The sequence below is a fragment of the Homo sapiens genome, chromosome 11 (genome assembly GCF_000001405.40).
Source record: "Homo sapiens chromosome 11, GRCh38.p14 Primary Assembly".
Taxonomy (NCBI): domain Eukaryota; kingdom Metazoa; phylum Chordata; class Mammalia; order Primates; family Hominidae; genus Homo; species Homo sapiens.
The window spans coordinates 111,735,891-111,748,413 of record NC_000011.10 but is presented as its reverse complement, the minus strand read 5'-3'; the positions used below and the strand labels follow the sequence as shown (position 1 = coordinate 111,748,413).

The window sequence follows — 12,523 nt, the reverse complement described above, 5'->3', positions numbered from 1 at the left end:
TAGTAACCAAAAAGGGAAGACGATTGAGAATTAGTAATATTACTGACAGGTGTTTTCCTGGGTAATTCATTTTTACAGGTAATCCAGATTTGCTTGGCAGACCATACACAGTGCATTCTTCCTGCTCTTTTGCAGTGTTGTGGCTGACTTCTGGCCACCCTGTTCTCTTTTACCTAGCAGGGCCTATGCCAGCTCACGTATGCTTTTTTTTTGTTTATGATTTCCGTCCAATAAATAGATTTATGGTTTGTTTGTAATTCCTGTGGTGTTTCTATCTCTTATTTGTTTATTTGGAAACAAGTTTTTTTAGCCTTCAGGTAACCTTGGTGTAATGTAAATAGACCATCTTTATTTCTGAATTTTGGCAATGTATGTTAATGGAATCTTCTGTATCTGTAGGGTGTGGAATTCTTTGATGAAAAGCTGAATTCTTTATGTATGGCTTGGCTCGTGGACCATGGTGAGTAGATAAAAACAGATTATTGAAAGCCCATATATCCATGATTTTCATACATTTCCTTTTAGAAAGGAATCTCAGTCTGACCAGATATTTTGCCTTAATATTGTAGGAATGAAGAAAGGCTCTAATTAAAGTTTAATCTTCTGAATATAAATTTGACGTTTCTACCAATTTTTTGTATCTTCGATTTTATTTTCTCCATTAAACAATTTATTTGCATTATTTTCTTACTCAATCTATTACATTATCTTCAGACCATCTCTTTTATATATCTACTTACTCCTCCCTTATCTGAAGATCCTCTTTTTGACCATCCTGTAATTGGTGTCTTCAGCAGCTATACACTAGGTTGTATGGAGATTGGAATCAGATGAAAGGCCTGGGTGGGAGAAATGGCTACTTGGCTTTTTGAGGTGACATAGAAGAGGAGATCTACAGTGAGACAGTAGAGGATTCTTAGGTGTGGGAAACACTAGCTTTGCCATAGGGAGAGAGAGGGCCTGGATTTCTGGTTTGGGTGAAAGGAAGGCTTACTGCTTGTACTCTCACTGCTGCTGCTACAGTGCTAGGAGAGGGTGAGCTCAGGGCAGGTCAGATAGGACAGCAGGAATGAGCAAGTGACTTCCTGGTGAGGCTTCAGGTAGAGGTATATGTGTGTATCCCCTTGTGTGCCAGGCAGCAGTGGGTGACAGATGTACCGTCTCTGCCAGATCCCAGGTCCAGACTTGACAGCTTCAGTGTTGTCTTAGACCTGTTTCGATGAGTGTGAGTGCCCCTATGGGGTCATGTGACATTGTCCTTGAGCTTTGTTTCCATGTTTTGGTGGATATAATAGATAACCTGAGTCAGTTCCACAGTATCTTTTATATACTTGATATATGTATTTAGTGTATCTCTTTGTTCATCTATGGGTGCTTATGCCTGGAAATTTGGGAGGAATGAGGATATTTGTGTCTGCTTATACGTGTGGGTGGTTTTGTTAAAGGCATGTTTGCATCATATGGAGGATCATATGGTTAAGAGTGTGAAGAGGAAGGATGTGAAAAAATATGTGAAAATGTATAAGGGCTTATATATGTGGGTATTTCCAGTGTTTTCAAACTGGATTGTAGACTTCTTTCTCTTTTTCTTCTCTAAAGTTATCTTATTGTGGCCTATTTATTTCTTTTTAAATAAAATTAAAATTTGGCAAATCATAGGAAAGAAATACCACTTTTAAAAAAAATGTTTATGTTATATCTGATAAATATTTGACGTTACTGGGAATGGTGCATCCTAGCAAATCATTCTGTGCTTTTTTAAATTTTATTTTACTTTAAGTTCTAGGATACATGCATAGAACATGCAAGTTTGTTATGTTACATAGATATACATGTGCCATGGTGGTTTGCCGCATCTATCAACCTGTCGTCTAGGTTTTAAGCCCCACATGCATTAGGTATTTGTTCTAATGCTCTCCCTCCCCTCGCCCCTCACCCCCTGATAGGCCTCAGTGTGTGATGTTCCCTTCCCTGTATTCATGTGTTCTGATTGTTCAACTCCCACTTATTAGTGAGAACATGTACTGTTTGGTTTTCTGTTCCCGCGTTAATTTGCTGAGAATGATGGCTTCTAGCTTCATCCATGTCCCTGCAAAGGACATGAACTCATTCCTTTTTTATGGCCGCATAGTATTCCGTGGTGTATATGTGCCACATTTTCTTTATCCAGTCTGTCATTGATGGGCATTTGGGTTGGCCTCAAGTCATTCTATGCTTTCTTTAAAAGTTGGCATTTTAGATTAAGATGGTGTTTTATTTTGAGGAATTTTTAAAGTTCTAATATTCCACAAAGAATTAAATTCCTGGCACCCTTTCTCTGTAAGATTGTCTTCTCTATGCAACTTGATTACTCCTTCCTCTTTTCGGATTTTCTCTTTCAGTTTGGGAGCAGGAGAAACCCTTGTTTATTTCACTGCAGCAGCATGCTGAAGTGGGGACTGCAAGAGTTCCATGAACCAATGAAATAACAGCTCTGAAATTGTTTTGTACTTAATCACAGGAGCTTTTTTGCTTTTGCATTTCAGATAAGTGTTATATAATGATCACTGGATCAGTTAGAGTTTTTGAAACTTTTCCCCTAGTTAGGTAACTACTAAAAGAACATTGTGAAAATTCCAGAGAAGTATAAGGAAGAAAGTATCACTCACCTATATTCCTGTGGTTGAGTAGACAGTTTTGATCAGAGGGAGGAATGTAGAAGGGAAATTTATTTATTTATTATAGGAGAAAGGAGAAGGTATCAGTTATTGAGCATAGATAGACATTCAAAGAAACCTTGCAGGTCAGCCAGGCCTTGAGAGGAGATGGGGAGAGAGAAAGAGACAGAAATAGACAAAAGAAAACAGGCAGAACTCTGGAATGGTTTGCATTCTTCTGAAAACAGTCAGAGGAACCAAGAACATAGTAGGCATCTGGCCAAGTAGAGTTCAGTGCAGTTAAGGTCTTGGTCAAGGCTATGCATGTGTGTTCCCCAGTCTCTGGTTTTTCTGGCAGTAGAGATCCCTTCCTATGGTAATGGCATTATGATAAAAATCTAAAGCGTGTTAAAAAAAATAGTAATTTGCTGAGCATGGTGGCTCATGCCTGTAATCCCAGCACTTTGGGAGGCTGAGGCGGGTGGATGACTTGAAGTTAGGAGTTCGAGACCAGCCTGGCCAACATGGTGAAACCCTGTCTCTACTAAAAACACAAAAATTAGCTGGATGTGTTGGCGGGCGCCTGTAATCCCAGCTACTCAGGAGGCTGAGGCAGGAGAGTTGCTTGAACCCAGGAGGCGGAGGTTGCAGTGAGCCGAGATCTCGCCACTGCACTCCAGCCTGAGAGACAGAGTGAGGCTCTGTCTCAAAAAAAAAAAAAAAAAAAAAATTAGAGGAGAAGACACAAATACTCTAGCTAGCTCCTCTTTAGTGGGGAGGACAGGGAAGGGTTTGGGCCAAAGACAAAGACTATGGATATGAAGGGAAGGAATCTGTATTACAGTAAAACAGTTGACTTGAGTTTGCTCCTTAGTGCATCTGAGTCTTACCGAAAGGTTGCTTCTCCTGTAGACTGTCAGTTTAAGTGTTGATAATCAGTTGTATGGGTCACTTGTCTATGCTGTCTTGCTTGTTCTCAACATCATTGCCCAGAAGGATCTATGAATAGAAGAAGTTGCCTATTTCTTGGTTGGAGGCTTGTATAAATTGCCTAGGACTGGGACTGTGGCTTGGATAGCTATTCCTGCCCTTCCTATCATCCCAGGAAGGTTGGGCCCACCTGGGGAGAGAAGTAGAATAAGGAATTAGTACCTACCACCCTCGATTTGTTAATCTGAGCCCAAATTTTGAGTCTTACTGGATCTGTAAAGTGAAGTGACACCAGGCTTGTTTTTGTTCAGTGCTGTATATAGCAACTAATTGTGAGAGGATTGTAGCTGAGACCTTTATTATCTAGCTTTATGTCTTTGATAAATGATCAAAGGATATAGGGAATTATTAGATGTTAAGGCAGGCACATTGATTCAAAGACATTTGACATCTTGTTTCAACCTAAGCATTTTCATGGAGAGGAAGCAAGTCAGTCTGATGTTTGTATTTGCTGTTGTATAGATGACCACAGTGGCCTCTACACCATTTCCTTGTTGTCTTTCTCAGTCAACGTCGCTTCTCCGTGATGTTGCTGGAATAATCTTGCTAAAATTCCACATTGGTCATCAGGTCACAAGTTTGCTTTAAAAACCCATCACTGTTTTTCCTAATCAAATCTAAGTCTTTCATAATGCTCTGCAGTCTGGGTCCACCCTAATTGTCTAACTTAGAAGTCTCACAGGTTTCAGTTTTTTCTGTTTGTGTCCTGGATACATGTCTTTACCCTTTCTAGGAATTCCTCCCCGCTTCTCTCCACTTACACAGATCCTCCCAAATCTTCACTGCCCAGTCAAGGCTTCTTTCTGTGCCGAAGCCTTCCTAGACCTTCCCTGTTCACTCTTCTCTGCACTGCTACAACCCTCACAGCCTTTACTACACAATGCCACACTTCATTCTAATTGCTCTTACACCATGTGACTTCATGGAGTGTGTTAGCTTTCATTTCTCTGATAAGAGCATATTTCTTGTGAGGGAAAGTATCTTCTGTGTTCTTTTTGTAGCACATAGTAGGCACTTGTATTTGTTAAATAATTGATGATGCATATGGTGAGCTCCTTGCATCCCTTTTCTGTGGATATGCACACTTGGAAACTGAGTTGGAGCTGAGCATGCTTGTCATTGCAGCATGATTACATGTGGAGTCTGATTGCAGAGGGGTTTTGCTTTTGGTCCACATTTGATTTTCATGTAAGTAAACTAGGTTATGCTTAAAAAACAATAAGCGATATGAGAACATGTTTTTGACCTCTTCTGCAGTATACGCCATCCGAGAAGCTGCCACCAACAACCTCATGAAACTAGTTCAGAAGTTTGGTACAGAGTGGGCCCAAAATACTATTGTTCCCAAAGTGTTAGTAATGGCAAATGATCCTAATTACTTGCATAGAATGACCACTTTATTCTGCATTAATGTAAGTATAACATAACTGTTATTGCTAAGCTTAATCATTAAAGCAAAATTATTCATGACTATTTCTGAATTATCAGTATACTGTCTTCTATTTGGAATATATGTCTTGTATTGATTAATTGGAATAGACAGGAGATGAGAGAAAATGTCAATTTTAAAATTCATGTTAAAATCTACAGTATTGGCTGGGCACAGTGGCTCATGCCTGTAATCCCAGCACTTTGGGAGGCTGAGGCGGGCAGATCACCTGAGGTCAGGAGTTTGAGACTAGCCTGGTCAACATGGCAAGACCTTGTCTCTACTAAAAATACAAAAATTAGCCGGGCATGGTGGTGCATGCCTGTAGTCCCAGCTACTTGGGAGGCTGAGGCAGGAGACTCCCTTGAACCTTGGGCAGGGGGCAGAGGGTGCAGAGGTTGCAGTGAGCTGAGATCGCGCCACTACACTCCAGCTTGGGCGACAAGGCAAAACTCCGCCTGAAAAAAAAAAAAACAAAGAACAAAACTACAGTATTTTAAAAGTTCAACTTATTTGTGAATTCTGGTCTAATTCTCTGATCATTTGAATGATTCTTGTGTCCCCCACTCAGCTGCTCAAACTAGAAATATTTTCCTATTGGTCAATTATTTTCTTATTAAATATTAATTTGTTTCATTAGATTTTGGAATTTTTTAAAGTATTTTAAATGTGCCATCTTACTTATTTTTCTAGGCACTGTCTGAGGCCTGTGGTCAGGAAATAACTACTAAGCAAATGCTGCCCATCGTATTAAAAATGGCAGGAGACCAAGTAGCAAATGTTCGCTTCAATGTGGCCAAATCTCTACAAAAGATTGGACCAATTCTAGATACCAAGTAAGATTTTAGTGTTTAGTCTTGTTTTAAAAGTGTACTTTAAATTTTACCTTATAGTGGGGAGTAATTAGCTAAAATTAAGTTCAGGGATTTTCACTTTACTTAAGATCTGGGTTTGCTTAAAGAAAATAATTTAGCAACTATTTTTGAGGATGTCCACTATGACTTTTATATTTAAGCTCTGTAAATGTGTAGATCCTTGTCTGAAGCTGATTTTGCTGAGAATTTCTTTAGACATTATTTTGTGTATTTGTCAAGTTTATAAATGTCTTTATTTTTTTACTTTAAATTTTAACAATTACCATTAACCATATACACCAAAAAGGATTTCTATGGCCCATTAGACTGTCTTTCACAGATAATACTTTTGAATGTCAGTGCTTTACAGGGAGAAGTGAAGCCAGTACTACAGAAGTTAGGTCAAGATGAAGACATGGATGTCAAATACTTTGCACAGGAAGCTATAAGTGGTATGTATTTCCTTCTTTTGCCTTGCAGCTTATGCCTTGGTTAACTGGGATTTATCTCTATTATGTGAGAGGTGTTAAGTGGGTAGGATGATAAGTATTATGGGAAACAGGGAGGGTAGTAAGTTCCTGGAATGCTGGTGTCTCTCTGATTAGAACCCTCTTGGCCCACCATTTTCTCATAAGTGAGCAGGCTATTTTTCTTAGTTACATGTAGGACTGGGTAGGAAATACGATTCTCACTGGTAAGAATAGTTTTTCGTTTGGAATTTAACCAGTTTTTAAAGTTTCACTTCTGATTAGCCTGGCTGAGTAAAGACAGTAACCACAGTGAGAAGTTGTTAGTTTGATACGTTTGGATCATTGTTATTGTGCTTAATATTCACATAGATCGTTCGTGAACTTTCTGTACCACTAACCTGATTTTGTTTGGAATTTTCCAGTTCTTGCATTGGCATAATGAGGAGCAGGAGGGAAAAGGCCTTTACTAGATTCTTGTCACAAATTTCTAGTCAATGTGTTCTTAACTGGGTGGAGAAAGAATGGAAAACCTTCAAGATCTCATCCAAGCAAATGGCAACAACTTAGAAGAAATCATTTAGTGACTTAATTCTTTCTAAAGATGAAATGGGATTGTTTTTTACTCGTCTTCCTTGTTAAATCATTATTTAAGCCGTTCTTATTGACCAATTCCTGACACTTGATTGTCTCCTAATGCTTTATCCATCACCACCTGGGCTCCTGCATCCTCACTGTGGAATCAGGCACCAGCCACATAATGTTCCAGACAAAGCCTGGAAGGGTGTGGACCCAGACGTGGAGTGGAGTGATTCTCTTGACGTTTACATATATCTCTGTGTCTCTCCATCATTCCAAAGCTAAATGTACATGTTTAGAATAACTTATTTTATAAACTCTTCGGGAGACATGTTGAGATTTGACCGTAATGAAAGCCACATTTTCCTGAATTATGATGGTCTGCATTAGTCTCATGTGAAAGGGGAATGTGGAAGCTCAGGGTTAATGTAGTGGTTGTTTTGGTTTTTATTTGCTCAATTTTGTCTGTACTCATGTCATTCAGAAACCTGAAGTGTGGCTGCATCTTGCTGCTAATGTGTGATGTTGACGCCTAACTGAATTTGAACAGCTCACCACTGTGCCTACATTTAAAAATACTTCTCTCTCTTTTCTAAAAAGCTTTAACTGTAGTGCCTCCTAATAAGCAGTATGTTTGTTTCATTGTGAGATTGCAGTTCTGTATTTCGAATGAGTCTAAGAACCACAGGGATAATACTGTGCAGATTTCCTGTTCTTTACCTGGCTCTGCTTCCAGCAGTATTGACACCTAGTCCTTGCTGCATTGTACAGTAGCTTTTCAAACTGCAGTTTTATTGCTAAGTTTTTAGTATGGGTGATACTGGAGTCTTATCATTTGAAGTGTTTGCTTTTCTACTTTTACAGTAAAACCTCATTAATTCTGAAATTTAAGATAATGAGTTAAGCTGAAGAGTTTACTGAAGCAAATTAATAGTGAGGAAGCCTATTTGAACTACTTAAACAGTATTAAAGCCCTTTTTAAAAAGCACCTATTTGGGATCATTTGAGGTCAAGAATTCGAGATCAGCCTGACCAACATGGTGAAACCCCATCTCTACTAAAAATACAAAAAAGTTAGCTGGGCGTGGTGGCACACACCTGTAGTCCCAGCTACTCAGGAGGCTGAGGCAGGAGAATTGCTTGAACCTGGGAGGTAGAGGTTGCACTGAGCCGAGATCGCGCCACTGCACTCTAGCCTGGGCCATAGAGCGAGAGTCCATCTCAAAAAAAAACAACTATTTTTCACATAATCAAACTCACCTTGTCTCATGACTTTTGGTTAAGGGGGTTTTCCCATAGTTTATTTTTCTCTCAGTGCATCTTGCTATGAGGTTTGCTTGTTACCCTTTTGGTTTTTGAATTGTTGATTTTGTTCACAACCTCTTTTAAATCTAACAAGTCCTGTTCTGTTTAGTGAAGGCCCAAAGACTCCTCTAAGACTTTGTATATTTGTTACATAAAACCAAGTTTTACTAAATACTTTAAAATTTGTCCTACATTCGAAAAATAGAAATTGTAAATCAGAGGTTATCTGTCTGCATTTTAAACTGCCAAATTACCTTATAGTAAGTTTCTATTTTATGACTTTGGGCCAAGAATTAAGTATTTTCCTAAGCACAAATCTTTTTCTATATTCTCATTTTAATATCTTATGCTATTATTCTGTAAACATTTTAATTTTAGTTTCATGAGTCTTTATTTTTTGTTACCTGCAAGTTATGTTCTTCTTCATTGAATTTCATATTTGAGAGACATTTGTCTTCATGAAGCAGATTTGCACTGGAACCATTGCTTTACTCTGGTTGGAAATGCCATTGTTTTGGGGACAGACTTTTAAAATGCCCTTGTGTCTCCCAGTGAGGAGCCCTAAGCATTGACTTCTCTACCCTAAAACTGTTTGAGAGAGGGAGAGTGGGCCCTGGCTTTCTCAAGCATGGGTCGGGGGTTCAGCGGGGCCTCTGTCTTTTGTGGTGACCCCTCAGGGGTTTCATTGTTTCCTTCTGACTTAAGCAATAGAGAGAGAATTTGTTTTGGTACTCTTCAGAGGAATTGTGCTTTGGCTCATAACTTGGCCATGTTCTCCATGAATTAGTTCTCCTATTTTTTTTTTTAACTACCTTAAACTTAAGGGAAAAGTTCTCCTATCTTGATTTCACTGGAATATAGGCTTTAGGAGCTCTGTAAGGCTGGTATTTTTGTCTGTTTTATCTTCTACTGTATCGCCAGTGCCTGGAACAGTGTCTGGTGCACATAATAGGTGCTCAATAAAAATGTGTTCAATGGATGAATTTCTAAAATATCCTCCAATGTGTGCATGGAACAAATAATCAAAAGAACCAGACTGTGTCTTATTCTCCCACTGACAGAAAGATTTTCCTGCTTTCAGGAAACAAGCTTTATGTGGCCCTTTTCTGGTCCCCTGGCTTAGACTACAGTTCTGTGTGGATTTGTCTGATTGCTTCAGACATGTAATGTTGTTTTTCATCCTTGGCAGCTTACATCAGTTGTTTGTTTGATTAGAAAAATGAAGCAGACACACACACACACACACACACACACACACACACACACACACAAACATATAACCTATGCCAATAAAAATGTCTCAGCAACAGTGGAATTCACCTTGGTGTTTCTCTCTGTAATTTGTGTGGGGTTTACCCCTCACAGGTTTAAGAGACCAGGTCTTGTTTCTCTCTCTGTGCTACCAAGAAGATGTGAACCTGAGGATGCATCTTGTTTCATAAGAAGGAAGGCAGGTGAATATGTGGTTTCTAACGAGGTCTTGTTGAAATAACGGGCTGCCCTCAGCTCACAGAAATACCACAGCTCAGCCACTGTGATGCAGAGCCCCAGGGGTCTTTGCCAGACAACTTGTCCTGACTCAACAGAGACGGCAGCCTGACCTTTGAGCTGGCTTGTCCAGGCATTCAGGTTGCTTGCGTAGACTTCCAGGGAAGCAAGCCTGTCCTTCCTGACCCGGCGGTTAACCTGGTGCACTTTTGTTCCTTTGTTAACTGTTGTGTTGTCACTAAACTGAAAGGCTGGGGCTTGCCCTTAGACGTCACATTGGCTCTGTCCCTGTGGCGATGGCAGGGCAGGGTGGCCAAACAGGTCAGGTGCTTGTTCTGTCCTCTTGCCTTTTACTTAAATTCCTCTGACTTTTAAAAATGGTGACACTCTTATCGTAAAGCTTCTTATTTTTCTCCACTGCTTGGATATGAAACTGTAGAGGGAGAGGCCCTGTTGCCCAGTGTTCTCCTGGTTTAGCAGCTGAGGTGACTGCAGTCTGATGTGATGTAACTGTTTCCCTTTGATTCTCCAGTATTCCTGTTTCCATCCAGTTCCTTACTCTCCTCTTTCCTCTTCCCTCGCATGTCTCCCTCCAGTCCTCTGTACCTAGAATAGTCTCACTGTCCCCCGTTTGCCTCCACGAGCCTGCTGTTTCCAGGAAATTACATAACGTTCAGTTGGGATGGAAATCTTCCGGAGGACGAATAGAGTTTAATTACTCATTGCGTCGGAAAGCCAAGCCATTTCTGTCTCCAGAGTTGTTCTCTTAAACTGATATGAGTTCTGAAAGGAGCCAGGTCTTTCCTGTGGTTGGGGCTCTGGAGACCATCAGTGACCAGGATGTGGGGAACAGCCAGGTGGACACCAAAAGGCCCGATGGGGTGGCGCTTTCCAGGGCCCCGAGGGAAAGGCACCTCAGCACGACCCTGGGCTGCCCCAGCTTTCTCTGCCCAGTGCCCCATATACTTGTAGGCTGCTGCTGGACACCCAACTCTGCTGGCACAACTGAGGGCATCCTGGCTGGGAAGCACAGGTGGGCTTGGGAGGGATGTGCCCTGGTCAGGGACAGTTACAGCGCCACTGTCTGTGTCTCTAGTGGTGGCACAAAGGCTGAGGAAGCTAGAATTTCCTGTGAAGGACAGTGGAGAACCCAGTGTCCCTCGGGCTGACAAGAACCACTTCCCAAGACCCACAGTGCCTGGAGAGGACATGGGGAAGGTAAGTGCCCGGAAGCCTGGGGTCAAGTCCTGCCCTCAGGGCTGCGGGCAGCCAGGGTGGCATGGTGTGCAGGGAGCTGCCACAGGGTAGGCGGAGAAGCAGCACCTCTCACTTTGTCCCCAGGGGAAGAGTCCAATTTTAAGGGCCGGGAGTAGATGGTTAAAGCCTGTTGCTGGCTTACTTCATTCTGGGAATGCTTTCTGAGAGGTGGGTCGCCGGCCAGAGCTGTCACTCTTGTAGCTTGAGGCCCATCTCCTATCACCTCCCAGTCCAACAGCGAGGCCCATACAGAGGACACCAGTGGGGTTTGGTGAAGAATTGCTTGTAAAAAGGGGCTGTTCCCACTTTCCTCACATAATATAGAAGTGACTTGCCATAATTCCTCTCAGTTATTTCCATTCAAGATAAAAATAGTTGCAAGTTTCTCTGTAACAGCTCAGATGTTCTACAAGCCCCATTGGATGCCACTCTGTGTGGAAATGGTGTGAAAAGCCCCAGTTCAGCAGTCAGTGGGTGCCAGCCACTGCCCCAGGGCCATTCATTAGGAGGGCGATTTGTGGCTTACAGATACATTCAGAAAAGGAGAGCAGCAGGGCTTGGCTGCCTCGTGCGGATGCCAGACTGCGTTTAGTTCATGGGGAAAAATCTGACATTCTCACACCCATTCTAGTAGGTTCGCTTAGTGAAAATTCAATGAAGTAACATCAAAAAGGCTGCCTTTTAAGTCACATGGCTTTTCATTTTATGTGAACCGAAACCATGAAAACGTTTTTTGCCTTTTGTTGAGGTCCAGAATCGCAGTCACTCATCTTAGAACATTCTTGCCTTCCTGAGGGGCTGCACACTTGTCCGTGGGCAGCTCCAGCCGTTCCTGCAGTGGCCGCACAGTGAGAGGAAGGGCTGGGTGACCACTGTCCAGTTGGATTCCAGGGGTGGCCAGCCCTTGGAGTCCATGTCGTCTTCACAGAACTGGGCCTCAGGGAGGAGAGCTTGGCTGAAGGAGTGGGAGTGACAGTTACACATTTTTTAGGCCTAAACCACAGACTTCTTTGGGAAGAAAGGGGTTACGTCTTCCTACAAATTCAGAGCCAGCTGCTCATGCCATGAATGCGTGGTATGACCCGATCTGAGTGTGGATCATTGAGGCGGCCCTCCCATGGCTGACCTGCTCAGCTCTGACAGGGCCCGGGCTGCCTCTGCTAGCCGAGGAGTTACTGAGAATAAGTTGCCGTTACTCGAGCCTTGGTCACTGCAGCACCTTGTCAGGCACTTCAAATCTCATGTCATCCTCACCCACCCTAGGTGGTAGGTGCTATCATTGTTTTTTGGTCCCTCATGAATCTCCTCCAACCCCTGGCATGTCTATTTGGGAATCTTTTTTCCAGGAAAGGAGGCCCAGTGGTGCTAGGCCTCTGAGGCTTCAGTTCATTTAACTCAGAAAAATCCCCCGCCCCATGACTCAGGGAGCCTTCCATGCATTTGTTTCACTTAAGGAAAATGACCCGAGGGTGAGATGGAAAGGGAATTGGCTGTTGCCAGGCAGAGCCCTGTGTGTCA

General features: G+C 42.0%; 1 protein-coding gene across 15 annotated transcripts in view; it reads left to right on the top strand.

Moving 5' to 3' along the window:
* PPP2R1B (protein phosphatase 2 scaffold subunit Abeta) overlaps positions 1-12,523 on the top strand; it is a 78,390-nt gene that overhangs the window by 17,976 nt on the left and 47,891 nt on the right. For 11 of the 15 annotated variants that reach the window (XM_024448600.2, XM_047427193.1, XM_047427194.1 and 8 more), the window contains 5 exons: positions 400-460; positions 4,884-5,038; positions 5,749-5,891; positions 6,270-6,361; positions 10,845-10,966. In XM_024448600.2, the coding sequence (XP_024304368.1) occupies positions 400-460; positions 4,884-5,038; positions 5,749-5,891; positions 6,270-6,361; positions 10,845-10,966 (573 nt within the window). Of the gene's footprint in view, positions 1-399; positions 461-4,883; positions 5,039-5,748; positions 5,892-6,269; positions 6,362-6,801; positions 10,538-10,844; positions 10,967-12,523 lie in introns of those variants that run through there. The other 4 variants (NM_001177563.2, NM_001177562.2, NM_002716.5 and 1 more) reach the window with 2 other exon arrangements.